The sequence below is a fragment of the Homo sapiens genome, chromosome 13, assembly GCF_000001405.40.
Source record: "Homo sapiens chromosome 13, GRCh38.p14 Primary Assembly".
Taxonomy (NCBI): domain Eukaryota; kingdom Metazoa; phylum Chordata; class Mammalia; order Primates; family Hominidae; genus Homo; species Homo sapiens.
The window spans coordinates 66932903-66959711 of NC_000013.11; the positions used below are offsets into that span (position 1 = coordinate 66932903).

The 26809-nt window shown below is 35.0% G+C and overlaps 1 protein-coding gene across 6 annotated transcripts in view, besides 1 other annotated feature; it reads right to left on the reverse strand.

Moving 5' to 3' along the window:
• The window catches only part of PCDH9 (protocadherin 9), a 927503-nt gene that overhangs the window by 630069 nt on the left and 270625 nt on the right, over positions 1-26809 (reverse strand). The window lies entirely within an intron of this gene.
• Positions 516-1715: an enhancer, noted in NCBI's record as "P300/CBP strongly-dependent group 1 enhancer chr13:67507550-67508749 (GRCh37/hg19 assembly coordinates)". NCBI's record gives its function as "activates an origin of replication core promoter dependent on BRD2, BRD4, P300/CBP, MED14 and CDK7 cofactors, with strong dependence on P300/CBP, by STARR-seq in HCT116 cells {active_cell/tissue: HCT116}" and the evidence as "EXISTENCE:reporter gene assay evidence [ECO:0000049][PMID:35650434]".

Consider the following 26809-nt stretch of genomic DNA (forward strand, 5'->3'; position numbering starts at 1 on the left):
AATATTAACATCATTTTTACATAAATATATAAATATATTATGCAATATGTTAATATATAGTTAAGATAATTAAATTTACTGAGTTTCTGAGAATTTTATTCTTTCAGCTGTTTAAGGTCCATATTTAAGTTATAGAGTAAAAATTTTAGAAGTATTGGACACTCGTTATATTTTGTTACCCAGAGAACCATAATATTAATATTACTCAGTGTTATAGGAAACCAACATAATATTTTTGCCTTTTTAGGCAAAAATCCTGAACATGTGATTTCTTAGTGTTATTTGAGTCTTTGTCAGAAAGCAAATGCCTTATTTTAATAAAGAACTTTCTTCTTAATAATCCAGGAACTAAAATGCCTTTTACCTATGACATCAGTATATTTTTAGCATTGTCAACAAAGACAATATTAAAGAATCAGTTTAGAGGAAATAAATTTCTCAATTTCTCAGCTGAACAAGGTAAGTAAATGTTTTGTAAAACTCAATAGGAAAGATTAAGATGACTTGTCAACAGTATATATTATCATGTTGTAGTTGGTATTCTTTCATGATCCAAAAAATACAGCCAAGTTTGGCACCCACTGGGAAGAACTTCAAACTTTGTATTGCTACAATAGCAAAGCAGATTTATTAGACCCCAGTATCTAAATTAGGAATAAGAATGTCCTAGTTGGTTCATAGCTTAGATTTATAAAAGTACCTTAGTCTACCTAGGGTAAGAGATATTTTTAGTTGTTCCTTTTTCTGTCAAGACAAAATGTTCAGTTCTCCTGTTTAGATCTTCAGCAATTTCAACGTCAGGCAAACAAGGCAAGGAAAAGTGTCATCAATCAAATCTTAGAACCCCGTGAAGTGTCTTGGATTCTGTAAATATTAGTTAGAAAATTTGTATTAATATGCCTCAGCTCTAATTAAACAGTTCAAAACATGACATTTGTTTTTATATGAAACACTTAGAATCCAAAAATTTTATAAAAACATAAGCTAGGCAAAAAAAAAAAAAAAGGGGGCGGGGGGGCAAAAAAGAAACATTGAGTTCCAACTAAAAGAAGACAAAGATCTACTTAACGTGTAATCATGCTGAACAAAATTAATCAATTTTTCAATGTCGGCATTTATATAAATACAAATCATGCTGACAAATACACTCATCACACCTACAGCCTGCCTGCCTACTGCCTGCCTTGCTACTAGACAAGCAAATGGCCCCCACTAAATGTTGCCCAGTGAATCAGCATTGACTCAGCAGAATGACTTGACAATATGGCATTGTGGTTATCTAAATAAGTTGATTATTATTCAAACATCTTCACCAGTCTCTACCACCTAAGAAAAATGCAAAAACTTGCCCGGGTGCGGTGACTCCCATCTGTAATCCCAGCACTTTGGGAGGCTGAAGTGGGCGGATCACCTGAGGTCAGGAGTTCACGACCAGTCTGGCCACCTTGGTGAAACCCCGAAACCCCGTCTCTAGTAAAAACACAAAAAATTAGCTGGGTGTGGTGGCGAGTGCCTGCAATCCCAGCTACTTAGGAGGCTGAGAGAGGAGAATCACTTGAACCCGGGAGCCGGAGGTTGCAGTGAGCCAAGATCACACCATTGCACTCCACCCTGGGTGACAATAGTGAAACTCAGTCCCAAAAAAAAAAAAAAAAGAAAAAGAAAAATACAAAAACTCCTTGAAGCATAGGAACAAAAAGCAGATAAAGCAAAAAGCAGAATAGTTGTATGCTGAGGAAATTTTAGTGAATATTTTATGAAGATAACATTTCCTTTTGATATTGTATTCAATTTCCATGTGTTTGCTTTTTTTTTTTTTTTTTTTTTTTTTTTTTTGAGACGGAGTCTCGCTCTGTCGCCCAGGCTGGAGTGCAGTGGCGCGATCTCGGCTCACTGCAAGCTCCGCCTCCCGGGTTCACGCCATTCTCCTGCCTCAGCCTCCCGAGTAGCTGGGACTACAGGCGCCCGCTACCACGCCCGGCTAATTTTTTGTATTTTTAGTAGAGACGGGGTTTCACCGTGTTAGCCAGGATGGTCTCGATCTCCTGACCTCGTGATCCGCCCGCCTCGGCCTCCCAAAGTGCTGGGATTACAGGCGTGAGCCACCGCGCCCGGCCGTGTTTGCATTTTTATACTTCACTAATTCATTCATTTTTAAATTAATTATTAATATTTTTTGGAGACGGGGTCTCAATCTCTCCCAGGCTAAAGTGCAGTGGCGCATCACGATTCACTGCAGCCTCGACACCCGGGGCTCAAGCATTCCTTTCTCCTCAGCCTCCTGAGTAGCTGGGACTACAGGCATGCACCATGCCTGACTATTTTTTAATTTTTGTAGTGACGAGATCCCACTGTTTGGCCTAGGCAGGTCTTGAATTCCCGGGCTCAAATGATCCTCCCACCTCAGCCTCTTAAAATGCTGGGATTACAGGCCTGAGTTTCCATTCCTGGCCTTATTCAGTCTTTAAAAAATTGAGCACTTAAGGTAAGCAAAGTAAATTTCAAGTTGGTACTGAGTTTAACGCAAGGGTCTCTGTGTTTCCCTATCTTTACTGAAATGTACTAGGTGTAACTTATAAAAATAGAAATAAAGTGATACAATGTGCAAATAAATTGAAGAAAATAAGCTCTACCTAGGTGAACAGTTACTATTAATTCTAGTGCAATAATGCATAGGAAAATTTGTGTATAATTATTACATAATAGTTGTTCAAGTGGAAGTGCATTTTTTTATTACAAAATAGACCTTAACAGAGAAATCACAAAACAATAAGAATACTTAGCTCAAACTAAAGGAAACAAAAATACATGTTAAATTATCATTAAATAGTTCTACTAGTCACAAAGTTAGTTACAGAACAACCCTTTTCAATATTAATTATAAAATATATTTTGCAGCCGGGCACCATGGCTCATGCCTGTAATCTCAGCACTTTGGAAAGCTGAGGCAAGCGGATCACTAGGTCAAGAGATCAAGACCATCCTGGCCAACATGGTGAAACCCTGTCTCTACTAAAAATACAAAAAAAAAAATTAGCTGGGCATGGTGGCGAGTGCCTGTAGTCCCAGCTACTCAGGAGGCTGAGGCAGGAGGATCGTTGGAATCCAGGGGGCAGAGGTTCCAGTGAGCTGAGATCGCACCACTGCACTCCAGCTTGGCAACAGAGCGAGACTCTGTCTCAAAAAACAAAACAAACAAAATGAAATATATTTCGCAAAATTAAAATTAATAGGCATTTCTTTGGGTCAAAAATGATACCAGGTTTCTCTTAAATATCTTATGCATGTTATGCTTTGAGGTGTTAGCACACTCAATCAGTCTCATTTGGAATATTTTTTAAGTATAATGCAAGATACAGCTTAACATCAGGGATCTATACTTTTCAGTTGTAACCATTTTCTAATTTGAAAGCCTGTAGTATTCTTCTGAGATTCAGATTTTTTGTTTGTTTTCCAATTAATATTTTGGGTCCAAAAACTCGATCTAGATCTTTGCAAAGAACAATTAAGGGCTATTTTTAGAAAGTTTTAATTTTTTTAAAGGCATATTTCTTCCATTGCTGGAAGAAAAAATTTAACTCAATTATGCCATCATGTTGGGTGACAAAATTAAAATTCAAAAGAAATACAGACAACAGTATAAATGATAAGTTGAAACTAAAGTGAAATAAGATGGTGCGTGGAAACAAAATCTCTTTACATAGGCATAGGAGACCTGATTTCACACATGGCTGTTTCATGAACTGGCTACTAAACAAGTCATTGAGAAATGCACATTAATTAACTAATAATATAATAATAGAAGCAATGACATCTTTGCATCCAAAGACACATAAGTTTGAATTGCAGTGTTTCATTGATTAATAATAGTGAGCTATCAGCAAGTTCCTTAACCTTTCTGAACTTTAACAGTCCCCGTAAAATGGGGATAATATTTATTCTTCTAAAAGTAAATCTAAGATTTTTTAACAATTGTTTGACATATATCATAAATGTACCAAAGATTAAATAACCTATTGATCTAACTGTATATAAGCTACTTCATAAAACTGCGTGGCGCATAATTTGGAAAGGCAGAAGAATTTCCATTCAGGTCATGTAAATTTGTTTTTCTCAAGCAATAAAAAATAAAATATAAGTATGCATGATCATCGTTATGGTTCTCAATATAATTTTCCAGTTTTATTATCTACCTTGATTTGTCAGATTCATGTAATAACAAATACTGCCCTATCCATTTAAAATGTATACAATGTGCCATACATTTGGCTATGGATTTTACATGCATTATCCTATTTGGTAACAGTGAGAGCCCTACGGGATTGGTTTTATTAACCTATGATTTAGGTAACAACTTTCAGTCTCAGTAATGTTATTTAACTTGCAGAAACTTGCGGAGTTGTAGTATCAACTTTCACATTCAGAAATTCTAACTCTAAACCGCCTGTTCTTAGTTATCTGAAGTCGTTATATGTAGAATAGAAAATTGGGATCAGATTTCTCTATCTGCATCATATGTATCACTATTTGAAGTTATATATTTCTTCTTTATTCTTATTACTGCCTGTCTCCACAATTTGTTTCTAAGCTCCACAAGGGCAGAATCTGTATTGCGAGTTCACGGCTTTATGCCTGTTTAAACAAACTAAGTATGACCTGAGTAGTACTCCGTACTTCCATATTTGAGTCCTTGTGGATGAACTGTAACCTAGCTTAACAGTCAGACAAAGTGGAAAACCTAACTTAGTAGTATATGCACTTGTAACAATGGCTGAGTATTGACCAATCCCAGTGACCATACTTCAACCACTCATAGACTGCTGAATGTTCAAACTGCGTTCAAGTAAGGCAAACACCGAGCTGTAACCAATCTCACTGTTTCTGTACTTCACTTCCAATTCCTGTGCATCACTTTACCTTTTTTTTTTTTGTCTATAAATTTGTTCTGACCATGAGGTACCCCTGGAGTCTCTGTGAATCTGCTGTCATTCTGGGGGTTGCCCAATTCACGAATCATTCATTGCTCAATAAAACTCCTTTAAGTTTAACTCAGCTTAAGTTTTTATTTTATCATGCCTAATGCCTGGCTTGAATAAATACATCATAATCATTTATATGGGTCAGAACTGTGCGTGGATTACACCACAGTGCTCTAAAAGGAGAGTTCATTCCCTATGGTTCAGAATAGATTGTAGTAACTTCCATAAGTGGCAGATATTTTAGTCTTTCAAACTAAGAAACCCTGGCCTTAACTCCCACAGATAACTGATGGGTAGACAAGAGTTCAACCACAATGACATAATTGGTTATCATTAGGAAAAAGTAAAAGAAGAAGGCATCAACAGGGCTTCTTAAACGAAAATAATTATAGTTACATAGTTGAATTTAATAGAATAATTTCCTTAACATGATATACCAGAATAAATAAAGCATTGCTATTTGAAAAAAAGAGCCACAGAATTAGACCGAAGTTTGCAAGATGCAATACTCTATTAATTTAGCTGTAGTTTTTCAGTTGTAGACTTCTATGATGCTTGCACCACAGTTCTTTGTGAATGGGGGATGTGGACTGGATTCAGGTGAAAGAAACAAGCTGTGGCAAACCCTGTGTACAACTGCAGCACACACAAATCAAAAAGCAATCTTTATATGTGATGGTTATTTAGAGTTTGCAATGTTCTCATCAGTAATTCCTATCTTCATGCAGAAACGACTGACATTGATGTTATCATAGACAAAGAAAAAGGAAATTTATTTCCTTCTTAGTTCTCACTTTTTCCCTCCACTCTTTCATCTTAAGCCCATCACCATAACATCACTGGAAGACTGAGGGAAGGCCAGAGAATTATTTTTGTTAAATTAATATAATCACGCTTTGCTTTTGAGTAATATGTGTACATTTTTTACTTGTCCGTCTACATGCAAACTTCATATATGTAGATCATTTTAAAAGAACTTATATGTGCACACATATCACAAGTAAAATTATTGTAATAGAATTATAAAAATTGCATGGTTTATATTATGTAATTTAATTTCAGAATTGTCTATCAATGTATTTATTTGTATTGAAATATAATACTAGAATATTTATATTAAAAAGGCATATCAATTTATTCAAGTAGCATATGATGGGTTAACTACTCTAAGATAATGGATTTTGCTTGTATTTGGGCCCAATGTTTTTTTTTCTTCAGGTTGTCCTGTATTTTAATGTTGAATCATTAAAAATTTACTTTGAGCAATCTATACTGTATAAGATTCCATGTAAAATCAAAATATCACTGTCAATCATTAAAAACACTGCTTAAATATTATTGTTTTTTCTTAAATATATTGTATTAATGAAGAATCATGATTCTAGGATCAAATGAAGTTCAATTTAAAAACCATGAAAGATTAGTTTTCTGAACTGTGTATGTGTTCTGAACATGTGTTTACTTAATGTAAACAAGTAAGAATCCCAAAGGATAATTTTTACTTAATAAACTTCTAAGAAAGGTGAGGTCACTTTAAAATATATGTGTGTGTGTGTGTGTGTGTGTGTGTGTGTGTGACGGAGTCTTGCTCTGTTGCCCAGGGTGCAATGGTGTGATCTCTGCTCACTGCAATCTCCGTCCGCCTCCCAGGTTCAAGTGATTCTCCTGCCTCAGTCTCCCGAGTAGCTGGGATTACAGGTGGCTTCCACCATACACTGCCAAGTTTTGTATTTTTAGTAGAGACACGGCTGGTCTTGAACTCCTGACCTCAAGTGATCCACCCACCTCAGCCTCCCAAAGTGCTGGAATTACAGGCATGAGTCACCATGCCTGGCCTTAAAGTGTATATATCTAAATAAATTAAAACTGGAAAACTCACAAGTTAAAAATTATGAATGAAAATGACTGATAGAAGACTACAAGGCTCAACGTATAGGCGCATTTAGTATGCTGTCAGGTAATATTTATTTCTAGAGCTGTGTATCAACATCTTTGGGAACGAGAGAGGTCTATGTGTATTGTTTTATAAATACTTAGTTCTTCAATTTGATGTATAATTCCTTAACAATGTTTTATATATTCTGTAAAAAGACTGTTCATTACATGTTTTGGATTTCAAAAATTATTTTGTTTTTTTGATGCAGCATAATATAGATTTGGATCTAGGTGGAGAATAAGAATGCTTGTAAGGAAGGCAAAAACGGGCAAGAAATAATACCATTTGACTTATGCTTTAGTCTGTGTGAAACTTAAATGCTTCGTATAGAAGCTTTAATTCTAATTTTCTTTTCATTCCAGTCCCATTTCCAATTCATTGGCCTTCATATTCTAATGAAAACTGGATCAATTTGAAGGCACTTATACAACTGTTTCCTAACACCTTGTTCTAAATTACATCCTGACGAATGAGTCATTTTGTCAGCTGAGTTCTTATTCACAATCACCCTGCAGTGTAATATTTTGTTGTTGTTGTTGTCGTCATTGCTGTTCAAAAACATGTTGTGAGTCAGTAATTTTTTCAGAGAACCAGTAAGCGTTTTCTGTGTTTATAGAGAGCAATTTGAGGTGATGATTAAACAGCATATAAAAAAAAGTTTTCTCAAATTTCTGATTATCTTAGTACCTTATTAATCACTATTATTAGGGTGTTATTCAAATGAATTTGTGTAATCTATATCTCATGTTTAACTTTTGAATAATAAAGAGCATCAAAACTGTAATGAAAGAAAATGAAAATCAGTATGTTAAGCCCCGAGAAACAAAATTTTTCTGTAGACATCCAAAATAAGTTTACTTTTTTGTCAAACAGATTGGTCATAATTACCAATTAGTAAAAATTCCAAAGTACATTATATGAGAGTAAAAATAGCTTAAAGAAGTAAAAATGTCAAAAAAGAGGAAAAATAGCAAAATACAGGAAAAAATTTCAGAGTCATTCATTTTTCTTGTACTTGTTTTTCTTGTGTTATAATTTTAAGGTAAAAATATTATCTGCTGCTGTGGAGGTGTTTTCCCACATTGATTGCTTTTACTCTTTAGGATTCTTATGAATAAACTGGCCAAATTATGAAAAAGTATTGTTTTCATAATATATACTTGAAGGGAAGTTTCATGGTTTATATACTTGTAGGAAAAATATGTAAAAGGCATACTGTAATTACCAGTGGATTCACTACCCCAAAATTCAAAATAAAATACAATTTTACTTTTAGGAGCTCCTGGTTATAAAATTAGAACTTACAGTATTTATGATATAAAAGTATACTATTGTGAAATATCTGTATTATATATGAATGGATATAGTATTACTGGTAGATAGAATGTAGTAAGTTACAGACATTTACTATAAACCCTAAAGCAACCAATAAAAATTTAAAAAAAATGAAATATATGGGTAATAGTCCAACAATAAATATAAAAACATATTATAAAATAATCCAAAACAAGTCTGAAAAAGCAAAAAAATGAACAAATGGGGCAAATAGATAACAAACAGCAAGATGATAGATTTATATCTAATGTTATAAAGAATAACATTTATGTAAATGGTCTCAACAACCCTATAAAAAGGCAGAGACATCCATAATGAATAAAAAGCAATACCTAACTAATATGCTGTCTATAGAAAACGTACATTAAATATAAAGACTCAGATAGCTAAAAACAAAAAGATAGAAAAGATACATTACACTAGCACCATTCAAAAGAAAGCCAGAGTGGGCATGCTAATAATACATAAAGTAGATTTTAGAACAAGAAATATTTCCAGGAATATGAGAGACCATTTCATAATGATGTTTATTAAGAGAACCTGACAATCCTAAACATGTATGCACCAACTAACATAGTTTCAATATACATGAAGTAAAAACTAATAGACCTGCAAATAAACAGAAAATAAATAGGTATGGAAGACTTTAGCAACATAATCAACTAACTTGATGCAACTAACGTTAAGAAATACTTGGCCCAAAAATAGCAGAATGTATATTATTTTCAAGTGCACCTGGGAAGTGTACAAAGATAGACCCTACTCTGAGGCATAAAACAATTCCTAAATTAAAAAAGTAACTCACACAAAGTATATTATCTGATCACAATGGGATTAAATAAAAATCAGCGACAGAAGGACTTCTGAAAATTTTCAAATATTTGTAAACGAAGTACTACACTTCAATATAACCCATGGGCCAAAGAAATATACAAAATAGATAATTAGAAGTTACTCTGAATTTAATGAAAATAAAATTACAACATATCAAAATTTGTGGAATGCCACAAAAGCAGTACTTTTAGAAACATTTATACCAGAAAATATTCCTGTTAGTAATTTTAAAAGGTCTAAAAACAAGGGCATAGTTTCTTCCTCAATAGTTTAGAAAAAAATAGCAAAATCACTGGTAATAACCAGAAAAAAAGGAAATGATATAGATCATAAATAAACAGAAAGCAGAAAAACAACAGAAAAAAATTGGCATAACCAATATTTGGTTCTTTGATGAATAGATGAATTCACCTATTTGTTTAGATGCGTGAAAGTAAAAAAACCTCTACCCATGTTGATCAAGAAAAAAACAAAGAAATGTTCCAATAACAAATAAGTGACATTGCTACAGATTCTGTAGATAATTAAAAAAGAAGAAATATTTATGAAAAAATTAAGGCTCAAAAATTCAACAGTTTTATCAAAGTTTTAAGGAATTGTTGATGAAAGCGTCATCTCTGTAAAATACTTAGAGGTTTATTCTGAATCAAATATAAGTGTCCAAGGCCCAAGGCTCAGTCTCAAGAGATCCTGTTCAAGTTTGTCTAAAATCATCCTTATCCTTTCAACAGGAATGTTCAATCATCAGAATTGCACAATTGCTGAGGTAAAAGGAATCTAGTAAAGATCTATTATGGAAACTGAGTTTCTTAATTTAAATGATGGAATTGTTTTTCTGGTTTATTCCTTAAATGGCCTGAGCCAAGTGTTTGACTACCCATAGAAAAACTGACCACAGATTCTGTGTTAAAATGTTTGGAAAACAAACTTGAAGAACAGAGATGGTGCTTGTAATCTCACAGCTTTCCCTGTATGGCCTTCAATATATCACTCTTGTTATTAACACGAAACCTGAGGCTTTACTTAACCTTATTTGATACCCTAATTTGAGGAGCATTATGACTCATTTACTTCAATATCATTTTCTCATACTGTTACATAGTAAACATAGTTATTACAACATATCTTCATAGAGCATTTGCAAAACAGGAAAAGAAATCATAAGTCAGGTTGTTACCTTCATATGCAATATTACGTCTTATATTACATTACATTTTATATTACAATGGTTTGCAATATAAAATGTGTTTTCCCTCCTTTTCTAATAATTCACTCTATCATTTTTCTATCTACCTTTCCCTACTGTGCCTTCATGGAATGAATTGCTCGGCCTCTTTTGGTTTTAGGCACAGTTGTCTGTTTCAAGTAGGACAATGAAAGATTAGTAAATCTCATTGGAATTTTCACCCTAGTTTTCTATGTAGATAATCAAGATTTGTGGAAATCATAGAGTACTGACATTTCTCTACTCCACTATCCTCAATAATTTTTCTAGTGGTAATTCTAGTTCCTCAAAAATTTTGGTTTACTGAACTTAGAAAATTTGAAATTACATGAAAATGATCTCCATTAGACTGAAACAAAATTACTCTACATTTTGAAAACCCCTTTTTCAAATTGACTATAGACGTGTCAAGTTACAGCTTTTCTCTGGAGACTCCTGGAGATTGATACAGATCTCTATAACCAAAGGATATGTGTATTTATGCTTTGCATTAAAAAAAAGGAATGTCTCTTAGTGTAATTTTTCTGTCAATCTAGGAATATGAGAAAACTTCAAGCAATTCATCTGTATCGGCATGGAGAGGAGGAAAATGAGACTGTAGATATACGTTGCTTTGGATGGCACCAATATGGGCCAGGAAGCTTGCTTGAAACAAGATAAAAATGTGATTTGGATACCAATGAAGTGACTTTCTGAATCCTTGCCTTCCTAAATACAAACTGCATGACCCTGGCTCTACCTCTTAAAAATGTAGCAATTTATTTTTCTCAGTGGCAGATTTGAATAATAATGTTTATATGTCTATAACTTAACACTATTGTGAGAATCAAATGAAATAATGATTAGTAAATAACTTTGAGAATCATTAAGTAATTTATCAAACATATGTTTTGTGCAAGGCATATGTAGATTATAGTAATTATTATAAACAATTTAGGCATAGTTCAAAACCATAATGCTTTTTAACAACTGACCTACTTTATTTCTTGCACCAAATACATTTTCAATAAATGTTCTATATTTTTCTAATAAATCTCTGTTTCTTTAATGCAACTATCTATTTAACTTTAAACATGAAAAATTCAGACAACATATTTAGCATAAAGAGATAAAGTGTTCTCTAGTTTCTATAATATGCAATTTTTCATAAATATTTTCAGCTTCTTGTCTCATTTCTTAGTACTTCCTACAAAAAAACTGAGTGGTTTGTATTGAATTATTATTTGTGACAGGCACTATGCCAACTATATTTTCTACTTTACCTTATTCAGTTTTTAACTGGAAACTGTGGCCCAGAGAATTACCTAAGCTCTTACCTGAGCTAAGAATTATCTGAGTGTAGAGTTTGGAAGGGGATGTGGTCATGAAAAGTTTGATCCCTCCCATTCTGTCCTCTTTTCTTAAGCCAGCTGCCCCTGGAAAACACACTTTATGCTATGCTTACTTCTTCATGCTCTATATTTAGTGGATAACCAACCCTCCCTGGGGAGGTTTGAGGTTGTGCACACAGCTCTGCCTGTGGCAGAATGGGCAAATGTAATTTTATCATTCATTGTTGGGATACCTATTTCTGGTGCACATTTAAGGCCCATCTTCTAATCGTCTCTGTGTGTGTGTGTGTGTGTGTGTGTGTGTGTGTGTGTGTGATTTAACTGTATCCCTCCCACACTCCAATTTAAGATAAGCAAAACTCCAATTTAAGATAAGCAACCTAAATTCTGAGTTGATTATTCTGTTGTGGCTCAGGACACACTACCCTAAAACCTGACTGCAGGATACCAGAATACAGCACCCCAACATTAACCTCTTTGGCATATTGAATATCTCTAGCTGATTATTTTGAGAAACTGCAGACATAGAAGTAGCTCTGAAAAGCTACCTTTTATAAAAGAAATTTACATTTATAAGGGAAATTTCTATTAGTAAAGGTATCTATATCAGGAAGAGTGTTGCTCTGAGCCAGCTTTTACCATCTGAGACTTACCTGCCTAAAAAGGCAACATTTATTCACAATTCCTTACTTTCCCTCATCTTCCTATAATTTGTCTCCCTCACACTCCCCCAGCAGCCCCAAGCAACTAGTTCTTTCTGTAGTGAGGCATACTATATGAGTTTTGATCATCTGGCCCTTCTTTGAGTGCCATATTCTTATGGTACTCCTGTGCATACGTACATAGTGAAAATTGTTTTCCCCCATTAGCCTGTCTTATGTCAACTTAATTTATAGCTCAGCCAAAGAACCTAGAAGGGTAAAAGGGAAGCATTCTTTTTCCTCTCCTAAAATACTGTTACTTACTTTTTCATATAGTTTTATTTTATCTACGTGTATCCATACATTTTAATGGTTATTTTTTCTTTTAACTTTATAAAATGTAACCATGTTCTATGTAGTCCCTTGAAACATATTTTTTCTCTGAAAATTATATTGTTAAGACGCAGCCATGCTTTTGAGTATTGTTGTATTTGGACTCTTGTAAAATATTTCATTCATTAAATATACCACAGTTATTTTCATCTACTCTCTTATGAGTGGACACTTGTTCTTCCCTTCCCATGTTACAGCTTTATATTACTGTTGACAGTACAGATACCAGGATTCTTGTATGTGTTTTACAGTGTACATGTGTAAGAAATACTCATGGGTATGTGTCTTAGGATGGAATTGCTAGGCTTTGAGATATCTGAATTACAGTTTCAAAATGTAACAAATTGTTTCAAAGTAATGGTACCAATTTACATTTCTACTGATAATATATATAAAAACCTCTAAAGTTTTCCAACACTTGGTATTTTCAGGTATTGTAACATTTCCTCATTGAATGGATGAAAATAGCATCAAATTGTGGTCTTGATCTGCATTCATCTGGTCACTAATGACTTCTCTTCTTATTTTTATTGACTATATATATTTCTTTCTTTTGTGAGATGCCTGAGCATGCCATTAGCCTATTTTTATTGAGTGTTTAAAATATTTCAAAATAAACACCAATAAAAAGTTATAAAATCCTACAAAAGGGAATATGATTAGTGTGTTGAGCAGCTGAGAACAAATATATACTCATTAAATATTAGTATAATTACATAATATTGAAAACTTAAAAACACAAAAACTATCATACCTTCACATTTATGAGCACATATAGCATCCAAGCTGCACACTTAAAAATATTTTGCAAGGCTGGGCATGGTGGCTTATGCTTGTAATCCCAACACTTTGCAGGGCCAAGGCGGGAAGCTTGCTTGAGGCCAAGAGTACAAGACCAGCATGGGCAACACAGCGAGATCCCATCTCTAATTTTTTAAAAAGATTTTTATAGTATATACAAAAATGGTACATACTATGGTACTAAATATTTGGTACTAATCATAGTAAACAAGGAAAACATGACAAGGGCCATTAATATGTAATACTAAATTATAACAGCTTTTCAAAACTAGAGAACCCAAGAATGTTGGGCTTCTCAAAGCCCAAAAGGCTTTATGGATTTTATGGTAAAACTATCTTTTCACCTATTTCTGACCATATCACAAATTGTATATATTTTAGAAACAAAAAAAAATTCTAATAGAATTTTAGTCCCAAAAGGTATAATATATAGTTAATATAATTTTTTCAAGAATAGCCCAAAAAATATGACTTTCTTCTGCAAAATGAATGTACATATGCCTTATACAAAATTTATGTTGAATAAATGTACTATGTTTGTGTTATGAATCTTTCTTCCTTAACAAAAATGGGCTCCTTAACTTTAAAACACAGAGAAACTTACTTTAGAAGTCCCATTTTAGCACAAGGATAAAAAATGTTAACCAAGCAATTAAACTGGATTGACTTTAGTGCATAAGATTCAGGTGTGTTCAATTACAAGTTTGTCCTGCCAACGAGCATCTCTTTGAGGTGTAGCTGGTTGGCATGACAGCAGGACAGGTTGCAATGGCTGGAATATACAAGGTCAGACAATTCTTTGAAATTTTTCATTCTGTACATTTATATCTCTGACCCCTCAGAATGAGAGGTAAAATAAACACACTTGTGCTAAAGCAATTTCACATAGTGTTATCTAACTAAAAATAGCCATATAATAACAAATTATTACCCCTCTTTTACAGTTGAGGAAGCCAAATGTCAGATACAGTAAGATTGTAGTGTAAATTTTACTGTAAAAAATAATCTTTTCTATAAAAATAAATTGATAATCATGTTCTTTTTCCAAAAAATACCCCTTATTATGAGTGTAATGACAAATACACGGATTACTGCAATACAAGTCAGAAAACTATTGTCTGGAAAAATAAAGGTAAAGCCTGAAGAATTCAAAGAATGACATCTTGCTACAACTTATTTTACTGTTTGTTGGTGGAAGATGGGGGTGTGGGTAGAAAAGTCTTCATGGAGACAGATGTGAATGGAGATTAGAGGACTAGACCAAAGGCATTGAATCAGCATGAGCACCTGTCCTGTCCATAGTTGGAAAAGTATGAGATAATTTTCTCAGAAATAATAAATCATTTATTTCTGCTAATAACTTGGATATGTTAAGGGAAACAATCAGGACAAGATAAGAAAGGTAAGTTGGGGGTGACATTGTACATGATCATATATGGGCAGGCTAATAAGTTTATGCTTTATTTGGGAAGCAGTCAGGTCTCTTTGAGCAAGGTGAATCTGTCTTCAGTGAGTTGGATGAACTGAAGAGGAAGCACTGGATGAAGGGAGAAATATCAGGTAGTTATTGGAACTATCTAACCTAGAGGAAAATAGAATGTGGTAGAAAGAATTTTTTAAGCATGGGGGGATGATGTGAGAGATGCTATGGAAGTAAAACCGACAAGACATTGTCAACTTATGTGGATGTGTGGGGGCTAATGCAGTTTTCAAAGATACTTTCATAAATTGAAGTTGTATGCCTCAGAGTATAGTGTTGATATTGACACAAATTAGGACTCTGGAGAAATGGTCTGTTCATCATGTTCATTTGGAAATAGTAGCAGGTTATTCACAGACTTTAAACTGTATAAATGTTAATATTTATTTGGACTTCAGAAACAGATGCAGTTCATGCCAGTATAGTTTCTAGAATAGAGTAGGAATTTAATAGATAGCTTGTGATTAATGATTAACCAGTCAACCAAAATAAAGGTTAGGGACTTCTTAAAAACTTGTTTGCTAAATGAGCTATTGTAGTTTTATCTTCCTTTTTCACTTCTCAAAATTAGTCATGCTTACTCTTGGGAAGTTAGTTGGAATGCAGAATTTGTATTTAGGATCCAGATTTTCATGCTTATTTTTTTTCTTCATTCTTGAGTACGTATAGTGATACAGAAAAAAAAAATAAGTATGGCACTGAAAAGCTTATCTTTAATTGTAAACTCCATGATACAAAAGTATTCTCAGAATGTAGGGAAAAATGAATGCTGTAAAACAGGAAACAGGTAAATGCCTAGAGAATTTCATATAAAAAAACAAAATGAGTGGCAAATTTTAGCATTTTGTCAAGGAGGAATCTTGAACTCAGCAGTCTCATACTAGGATATTAATTGACTGTCTAAATGAAGACCAAGTTTTTCAGGATGTTTCTGCAACTTTCTTCATTACAAGAATATATTTGAAAGCCTCCTTAAATTGTTTTCCATTTTTAATGCATTATCATCACATTTAATTACCGAGCCTTTGGGGAAATTATTCAGCATTTTAGGTTTGAAACTACGCAGTAGGGTGTCTATTTTTGCATAGAAAATTACTACGTTAGAGCACACGATTTAATCTAGCATACATGCTAAATCAGTGCTTAAAAGGAAAAAAAAAACTTCTCTTAATCTTTTCAGTTCTTTCATTTGATAAAACAAGTAGGCGTACGAGCTTGGCTAAATATGCTTTAAAGAGAGAGTTCTGCAGGTGAAGTGACAAAAGCTTTCTGGGTGCTTTATTATGCATTCTTTTCTTTATATCTAAGAGGATTCTAGCATTTATCCAAAATGGTATTTCCCTTTTAGGTGTGCATTATAGCACGGCAAAGAAAAGATGGCATTTCCAGACAAGTCTTTCATCCTGTGACAGCTGAATTATTCTTTTCCAAATATGCTAAAACAACAGATTTTCATTTTGTTCATCATTAAAAAGCCTTTTGGAATTTGTTCCAGTCATCAAAAACGTGGAACTAGGAGAGAAAATAAACATGGAGGTACCAATATCACACCATCTCTAAGACAGGATTCAAACCTTCGAAAAAGCATGTGCAATTACAGGAATCTTCTCACTGTAAACAGCAAAGCCAAGGTCTTACAAATAAATGGAGTAGGCAGCTTATGGGATGTGACTAGAGGGGCAAGCCAGATGCTCCTAACTAAAAATATCTCTCATGCCTGTACCTTTAGAATTCGTTCCTCTGCATCTCGGAGGCTTTTTTGATCAGCAAGAGACCCCCATTAAAATGTAAATACTCCTGGGAGATGCACAACCTTAATCTTTTATCAAGGATCATCTCCATCGACTAGTTGGAATGGAACAAGAAACAGAATAGAGCTTTGGAAAAATGAGTAAAGAAACAAGTTAAAGGCGAAAGGATACTGGCAGGAGAGAGAAGACCCTGAAATAGGAACTTCTATATTTTACAATTTGCCTGATTCCAGTTCCGAGTAAATGGGTTAAATATATAAAAGAAAGAAAACAGACATAGAAAGGCATTTAAGGTCAAAATTAAACTGCTATTCAAGCAACTTGCAATAATTTTAATTTAGTGGAAAAATCTAGTGATTAGAAGACCATGTCTTCTAGGTTCGATATTCACTTTGTTTACTTTTAGATGATGACCAGAAGTTTAATTATCTCAGGAAACAAGATTATCACATTAAATGAAAAATAATACCGCTTATCAAATGATTTATATAAATATTAAATTAAGTGATATATAGTAATAACAAAGAATAACTGTATTAAAGCAAAATCAGATTAGCTACAGTTTAAGAATGGTTGTATATGCTCCAATTTAATCCAACAAATTCCTCAGAAGTTAGTGCTTCTGCTTCCTGTGCCTGTGACATCCTGCAGCAACTGAGCAAAATCAGATAGAAGAATATTTGAATCCAGATTCTGCCACTTAATAGCTGTGAGATTTACAGATGTGAAGCTTATTCAATCTTCAGAAATGCTAATTTCCTCATCTACAAAATCACTATTGTTATGCTATGCCATGCAGGAATCTTTTAAACAGTTGAGATAATTTATGTAAATATCAAGGATTGGGAAACATGGAAAGTTCTTCATAAAAGATATATGTGTATGATTTTTTTTTTTTAGTTTTAACATTCCTAGTTAAGATGTTAGCTTTTGTTCTGGGAAAATATTGTTTTCTCTTTGTGTATTAGGCCATTGCATATATTTGGTAAGTAAGAGATTGTCTTCTGAATGTTTAATAATCAAAAGTGCCAGAATTTAAAGAAAAATAAAACAGGTGACCATAGGTATCTACACACAGAAAATACTTCCCTGGAAAATATCAACTCAGCACTGCCAGGACCTTGACAAAACAAATAGGTGATCATGTGAACCTCTGAAACAATTAAAACCATGTGAAGAGCTTAAAATTGTCTACTTAACCAAAAACAGCTCTGCCTCCACAAGCCATCTATCTATCCATCTGTCATATGGCATAGGACAGGTTTTCCCATTGTGTATTTATTTTTTCTCATTACTAAGGACAGCTGGTTGAATGTGAATTTTCTATCAGATACATTTAACCCTTGGCTTATAAGCAAAAAAAAAATTGAATTTTATCATTTAATTTATTTTTCTCAATGTTTACTGGATGAAATATCTCCCATCCTACCCTCATCCTTGCTTATCTGGAAAGCTAAAGTATGTGGTGCAATGGGCACCTCACTTACTCTGCAAAGCCTCTAACACAGTGCCGCGTACAAATAGATCATTAACAATTGCTTCATAATGACGAAAGGGTTTAAGTACACATTTATTTCTCTCTTTTTTTTCACTTTTCAGTGCACAAGAAATATATACCTTTTTTTGTAATAATGTAAATAGTGATATAAATGAGGTGAAGATACATAGTGACACATCCAAGGGTTCAGTGAATGAAAGTCTACAAGAGCTGCCTGGATTGAAAGATGTCTCTGGAAAATCAGGAAAATTGAATGTAATTTTCTGATCCACAAGGGTTTATTTTGTTTGTTTGTTTGCTTGCTTGCTTGTTTTTTGTTTGTTTTTCATATCAGAAAGAGTGAATGCAGACGTAATTGAGCTCATAACTTCAAATGAGAAATAAGCAGCAGTCACAAATGAAATTGTCATCAAAGAACCTATTCTCATAGGCTGAATGATTATTTTAAATGCTGGGGGAGTGAACTGGAGAGAAGAGAGCAAAGATGGGAGTGTCTGAGCAAAATGTTCTCCCAGGGCCCATCGCTTCTAACAGAGTCACTATCCATTGTGATGCAAATGTCAAAACACCAAAGCTAGGTCTCCCCATAAAAATAGTCAGATTTGATGGTGCTATCTAGATTTTCCTTACTGAATTTTTTAGAGCATTTGTTTGAACAGAGGGTAGTTTGGAGGTTACATGTTCCTTTCTTGATAACAACCTAATTTCCTCATTCCTTTTTGTATGTAGATACAGTTTCTATCTTCTAAGTGCCTGCGGGGATCTAGCTGTTAAAAGAAAATTTCAAAGGAGAGGTGAATTTGTATGTTAATCCCCTTCCTATAAAATAAACATGGGGGGTGTTGTAATTATTTCTTTCATCTGTTACTAGAGATGATTTTAACTAAAGTAGGGGTGAGCATCTGTGCTAAGGTAAGCAAGCTGGCTTTCCCAAAGGCCTGGTAACTATACAAGTCGTTTCTCTGAATTTTGTTGTATCTTCAATATGACATTCCTCATATGAACATCTTATATGGTTTTGTACAGTCTAGTTTCCCCTTCATGATATAGCAGAATGCTGACAGCACACTGTAGGGTACATACGCTTCTCCAGCAAAAGCACAATGCATTGTGGAAGGCACCTTGGGTAGTAATTGATACAAGTCTGTTTCCCTGTATTTATTGAGTGATGTTCAACCTCCTGCATCTACAGCCACCACTGTTCTAATTATTCAAGCTGACATTCTCCACTATAGTGCTATAAGACTGCTTCACAGACATGTCTTAAAAATTGGTGTAAGTTAATGATTTATTTCAAATACATGAACGTACCTAGCATATCATCGGTGCTCTAGAAATGAGTGTTTCTTATTTTTATATTCTATTTTTTCTGATTCCTCTCATCCAAAATAAATTCCTCATCAAAACAGTGGAATAGTTTACCCTAGAGTGTAAAGAGTAGCACGAAGCCAGACAATTGCAAAGTATTAAATGCAAGGTCACTGATTTAAGAGGTATCAGTTATGTGCTATAACCTCCATTACATCTTGGCTACCCATTCCTCAATGCTATAATTGCCTCTAACTCTCTCAATGGCAGAACCCACCTGTGGCCACCAGGGCCCCAGCTCTGTGTAGGTAACCAGATGGCTCTTTTTCCCAAGCCACCATCTTCTATTGACCAGCCTAAACTCTCACACCTAGACAGCAGGGGCACGGAACTTAGGTTCTTAGTATAAACAAGGAAGGAATAAACATACCGGGACCGATACTGTACCTGTCACCCTCCCTGCCTCCTAACTCTTGTGTGGGCCCTGGAGGCTACACATCTTCCTTTGTCTCTTGGCTTCAGAAAAATTTGTGTTCTTAACCCATATTTAGTTTTTTTCCTATCATTTCTATTTCATACATTCTCATACATTTAACTTGTAAAATGGACTGTAGTATTATTACCTAATGTAATTAAAGCATATGAATTAAAATATTTCTATAGTCAAAAAAAAACAAGAAGCACCAATACAGATTACTAGATATATGATCTTTGAGAAAAAAATAAAGCCAGAACATGTATTCACAAACATACATATATAAACACATGTTAGAGGCACTAGTCCATATAACGTTCCACATGTAAAAAAAAATCATTCATATGTGACAATATAGTTTTTAACATTTCCACCTAAAAATGCTAACATTGAAGCTACATGCCAGAGTACTGTAAATATTTATCTGGAGTCAGTTATCTAGCTGGATTTGTTCATCCCCATATCCCCAGTGCCTGTAGCACCTGAAACACAGTACATGTTCAAAATATACTTGCTGAATAATTGATTAAGCACTCCACTCCTCTTAACTACAAGGTTAGTCATTGCAATATTTGTTTTATATTTTGTATGCATGTACACATAAACTTCCTACAAAAAAAGGCAAGAATTCTAGTGTACAGTCTTATTGTTACAATATATTATTCAAGTGATTGATAACTGTATCAATGTTGTCCCTTCTCTCCTGCTTTCCTGCCCTTTCCTCATCACAAGTCTGTCCTACCCCTGCACCCATTAATAATGGTGGGTGGTTTTATGTTAAGTCTTTGTGGATCCTCATTTACCACTTCATTCCCTTCACCAACAAACCCAGCATGTGGTATATGTGTGAAATAGCTTTCTTCACAGTAACTGTACCTAGTATATCTAGTGTATGTATTTTCTCCTCAGGTTCAGAATTCTACTGGGTGAGCTTACATTAAATAGGGGCCATCACAGAAGACCAAGAAGATCATACTCTCTTTCCTGCAGAGATACCGGAAGACGTAATAGTCATCTTTACTTCACCCCTCCGCTTTGCTTCTAATTGGTATATAGTAGTTTTGCAGTTCAGGAAAACAACTAAAATTTCAGGGACATGTGACAGCCAGCATGCTTCACACTAGGTAGCTAAATTTATCCAGCGCAAAATACCAAATGAAGAAGCCTCTGATTAGGCAGGGCCATCCATCTAAAACAGTGGGGCTGGGCAATAACATCTACCAAGTATCAGGAGCTGTTGCCACCTTGAAATAACACAATTATCTATTTTTCTTAATGTTCCCCAACTGCTCCTAGCCCATGTCTTATGATCCTATGATACTTATAATGCTCTCTCTTTATATATGTATTTGTGTGTACCATATGTATAAATACATAATTATATATGTACATATTGTACTTATATAATCTCACAACAATCCTGCAAGATAAAAACTATTTTCTTCACTTTATCCATAAAACTGGTAATCAGAGAGATTAAGTCCTTGGCACAAAAACACTCTCCTAGTGATTTCAGATTTAACCTGGGCCCATGGCTCTGCACTTACTGCATGGACTCCTACAATTTTTTACCCTAAACATTGGATAAGCTGAAGCTTACAGAGAGAGCTGTTTCTGGGTTATTGCAAGGAAAACACTACCTTGAATGATCAGACTTACCAAGGGTGCTGGGTCTATCAGCAAAGGATACTTGGGTTCCTTCCATAGCATCTTGGACAAAATCTCTGAGATGTACACTACTGCAGGTCTCAGTCCATGGACCCAACTATGCTCTGGGCACAAAGTGCAATACCAAAACAGCATGCCCTCCCTCTCACAGACCAAGAATAGGGGCCCTTGTCCTAAACTTGCTCTTCCTGAGATAGAACTTTTTTTGTTTTGTTTTGTTTTTTGAGACGGAGTCTCGCTCTGTCACCCAGGCTGCAGTGCAGTGGCGTGATCTCAGCTCACTGAAAACTCTGCCTCCCAGGTTCACGCCATTCTCCTGCCTCAGCCTCCTGAGTAGCTGGGACTACAGGCGCCTGCCTCCACGCCCGGCTAATTTTTTGTATTTTTAGTAGAGACAGGGTTTCACTGTGTTAGCCAGGATGGTCTCGATCTCCTGACCTCGTGATCTGCCCGCCTCAGCCTCCCAAAGTGCTGGGATTACAGGCGTGAGCCACTGAGATAGAACATTTTAAATCACAACTCTGATCACCACCTACCGTTGCTCAAGAGCATGTTATTGACTATTCACCATCTGATTACTTAAAGCCTCTTGCCAGGTTAAAATCATGTGAAAGATCAGAATTCTGACAGAATTAAAGATTCCCTAATAGAGCTTTTCAATCAATATCAATCAATCAAATGTTGGTCACCCAGCTCTATGTTAGGGTTTTCAGTGACAGTAAACTTACTCTCCTAATCAGCTTATTTATTAGAGCATTAAAATTATGAGAGCATAAAGGAAGAATTATAACTATGAAAATAAATAAAATGAGCTGAGACCTGTCCCCAAAAAATGATCCTTTGGAGCCAGGAAGAGTCATCATTCCACTTTTTAAAGGTTATCAAGCACATATAATGCTTAAATGTAAGGTGTCATTTTTTTCTGAAAACTATGCCTCAGAACAAAAGGGGTCACATTGTTGGGACTTTTAAGGATTCTTTCATGTTATGAGACCTCTTTGAGAAAGACACATCAGCCTTTCCAAACATGAATCAGTTTTTATTTTGGATGTGTAAAGAGGTCAACTATTTAAGAAGAGATGACAAAGTACTTTAAACACACTTTAATAACTGGTCAAGAGGGATGAACTAACATTTGCAAGTATTCTATAACTTAGAAAAGATACATTTTAAAGATCACTTTAAAAATTCAAGGGAGAAATTGCGTTTGTTATGGGAATGACAAACAGATACATAAGGGATGAACTACAAATGAATTGTACTCTTGTTATGCAAATATAAGAACATAGGGCTGTTGGTCAGGTGTGGTGGCTCACTTCAGGTCAGGAGTTCGACACCGGCCTGGCCAATATGGTGAAACCCCGTTTCTACTAAAAATAAAAAATAAATAAAAATATAGCAAGATGTGGTGGCCAGTGCCTGTAATCCCAGCTATTCAGAAGGCTGAGGCAGGAGAATCGCTTGAACACAGGAGGCAGAGGTTGCAGTGAGCTGAGATTGCACCATTGCACCCCAGAAACTCCATCTCAAAAAAATAAAAACAAACAAAAACAGAGGGCTGAGCTTTGTTACTCTTCTCACTGAGTCAACCCTATTACCTGTACCTACAACAGTGCCTGACAGCTAGGAGGGGCTCAAAAGTCATCTGCTGATGACTAAAAACAGGAACGAATATATGGTTAATTGTGGCTTGAAACAAAAGTTTCTAGGAATAACATCAAGTTCAAAAAATACTGTTTCTCAAATAACCTGCAAATGGAGATGATGTGTTAAATAGCCCCCAAGGTGACCTTAGTAATGACTGAGCCCCCGACAATAATGAGGCTTAAATTAAGTATTTTTAAAAAGGTGAGGTTATGTGATAGTCAAAAAGCCATAGCTGTGACTTCAGTATTACAAGTAGGAATTTGGCCAGGTGCGGTGGTGGTTCATGCCTGTAATCCCAGCAATTTGGGAGGCTGAGGCGGGCTGATCACCTGAGGTCAGGAGTTTGAGACCAGCCTGGCAACATGGTGAAAACCCCTCTCTACCAAAAATACAAAAATTAGCCGACCGTGGTGGCACACAGCTGTAGTCCCAGCTACTCGACAGGCTGAGGTATGAGATCACTTGAACCCAGGAGGTGGAGGTTGCAGTGAGCTGAGATGGCACCACTGCACTCCAGGCTGGGCAGCAGAGTGAGAATCCATCTCAAAAACAAACAAACAAAGTAGAAATGTGACTATGTGTCATATCTCTAAGTGTTTGTATATTCGGATAGGCCATTGTTGCTGTTTCGCACTCCACCCACTTCTTCCCCTCTCCCCCCACCAAAACATACCCAGGAATTATTTTTAATTTGGGCTGGCATTTTATTCCAATATATGAGGCATTTGAAACCCTGGCTTCCAAGTTGGTTTATCTCCAGACTGAATTTTCTATATTTTCACAGGGGCTACTCTAAAGGCTTGGTTTTGATTCACCCTAATATTATCACTGAATTATAGCACCCACAATTTAACATAACAATGCTTTGTAGTTAGATACAGCATAGAGTGAGGTTTTTATCTCCCTTACTTTGGAAGCTGTGTGCTGACTAAAGTAGCTTAAAATTACATTTGCACTTTGGCAGTCACATCACACTATTGACTAATATTGAGACTTCCCGAAACTAAAATCCCAACATCTTTCTGACATGTGCTGATAAGCCACATAATCCTCCAACCATACTTGTGCAGGTAGCTGCAATGAACTTTTTTTTTTACACTTACTTTTGTCCAGCTTACAAAATAGCCTTCTAACAGAGTACTACCCCTCCAAGTTTCACATAATCTGCAAATGCGATGCCTGTTGGGAATCTGTGACCTCATTGACGTTTTTGACAGAGAAAGTAAATGAAGATGCATTGGTGGGATGTCATGAAGTGAAAAACAGGTTCTCTCCTAAAGAAAGACCAGTCAGCAATGTTAAATATTTTAGAAAAGTTGCTGGGAACTGAAATGAAAGCCCTAACCCTCCATCCCTCCATGAGGTATTTGCAGATGGGGCCTTTGGGAGATAATTAGGTTTAGATGAGGTCATGAAAATGGGGCCCTCATGATGGAATACTGTCCTTATGAGAAGAGACACCAGAGATACCTCTCTCTTTCTCTCTCTCACTCACTCTCTTTCTCTCTCTCTCTGCCATGTGGAGACACACTAAGAAGGCAAGCTAGGAAGGCAGTCCTCAGCAGAACCCAACCACACTGGCACTCTGATTTCATTCTTCCAGTTTCCAGAAATATGAGAAATAAATTATGTGGTTTTAATCACCCAGTCTGTGGTATTTTGTTTTGGTATCTTGAGGTAACTAATACAAACGTAAAATACAAAGGGAGTTATTAGTAAAATTTGAGAGGTGACATTACACTTTTTATGATGAATTAATATAATAAGATTTTAAGAATAAGATAATGAAGGTATTTGGTTTATTTCACCTAACTGGAGAATTCTGGCTTCAAAAACAAGGAGAAATATGATTGACATGTAGAAGAGGAAGAATTATACATAAAGGTATGTTCAAGATGAAGAGGCACCCCAATTTGAGGGCAGAAGAAATGAAATCAGTGAAAACACAAAAGTGAATTTGACGGAGCGTACAATATGGTTGTAGCAGAGCAACTCCTTGAAATGAAAGCTAATAATCAAGAGGATAATCCTGGAGACTGAGTATTACAATTGGAGTGTTTACAAAGTTCAAGGTATGAGACGGACTGGATGAAAAACACGGAATTCTATGACTAATTTTGTAGACTGGAAATAATAAAATCTAAAGAAGTAGAGATTGCTTCAGATGACAAAATACAGTCAGGGAGTTGCATTGATATAGAATAATTCATTGTTCAGTTTCTTTCTTGACATGCCTTAAATTTTATGAGGCTAGAAATAAACAGAATAGAGAAAGATGGGGAATCAGTAACATGGATTTAAGTGGCTTTAATTTTATAAACACATACTGTATAGCAGTTAATATTGAAGGGCTGATATTTTTTTCACACATATCACATTACCAAAAAAAATCCTTCCATTCATTTTTCTCTCTTAGAAGTACAACTAGGACAGTCTATTCATTGATGTAATTTTTTTTAAGTTTTTGTTCTTTTATTTTTTTCATGAAATGAGCTAGATCTTCTGAGAGCATTTCTATATTAGGCACAGAGCTTTGCTGCTGTTTTTAAGCTAAGTTAAACATAAATAGGAGCTCTCCCCATTTCCATTGAAGTGTCACTCAGCTAAGTACCCACGCTAGAGAGGAGGTGGTTCTCTCTGCAGAGATTCGTCATGCTATGTTTTATACTTAGACGTTTTTCTCAGAAATGAAACTATTTAAATTTCCCATCTTATTGGTCTGACTGTAGTTTTTCTTTGAAAACTTGCTGTTGTTTCTATACTAAACTCAACCTTTAGCTTTTCTTCCACTTTTAGTACTTCAGTTTTAAATAATCACTTACAAATATTTCAGTTTGTAACAAGACAGTACATACATTAATGTAAGAGCCTATGTGGGTTAATATAATTTTAAATAACAGACTTACATCCTTAAGTTTAGAAAAATTTCAGTAATTAGTCACCTTTTAAAAGAGCATGATAAAAACACCTATTTGAAGGTAATATTTTTCACATTACATGAAGCACATATAAGAGATGTCACTTAGAGCCTCCAAAAATCTTAAATGAATTTGATAGCAGGTACAATAAGGAAAGTGTGACTTTAAAATTTAAAAAATAACAAACAACATTCTACATCACTTTTTTTCTATAAAAGTATCTGTCAATTGTAAATTACCAAGAATGGCATGATCTCAATAAGAAAGAAATTCTGAAAATATTTGGCCAATTGTAAACTTAATAATTGAAATGATCAATTAAGAAATTACTTAAGAAAAGACATCCTGGGCCTGATTCAGTGGCTCAGGCTTGTAATTTCAGTGGCTTGGAAGGCTCAGGTGGGAGGATTGCTTGAGGCCCAGAGTTTGAGACCAGCCTGGGCAACATGGCAAGACCCTGTCTCTGCAAAAATAAAAAATTAGCTGGGTGTGGTGGCACACACTTGTAGTTCCAGCTACTCGGGAGGCTGAAGTAGGAGGATTACTTGAGCTCAGGAGTTTGAGGTTGTAGTAAATTATGATTGCATCA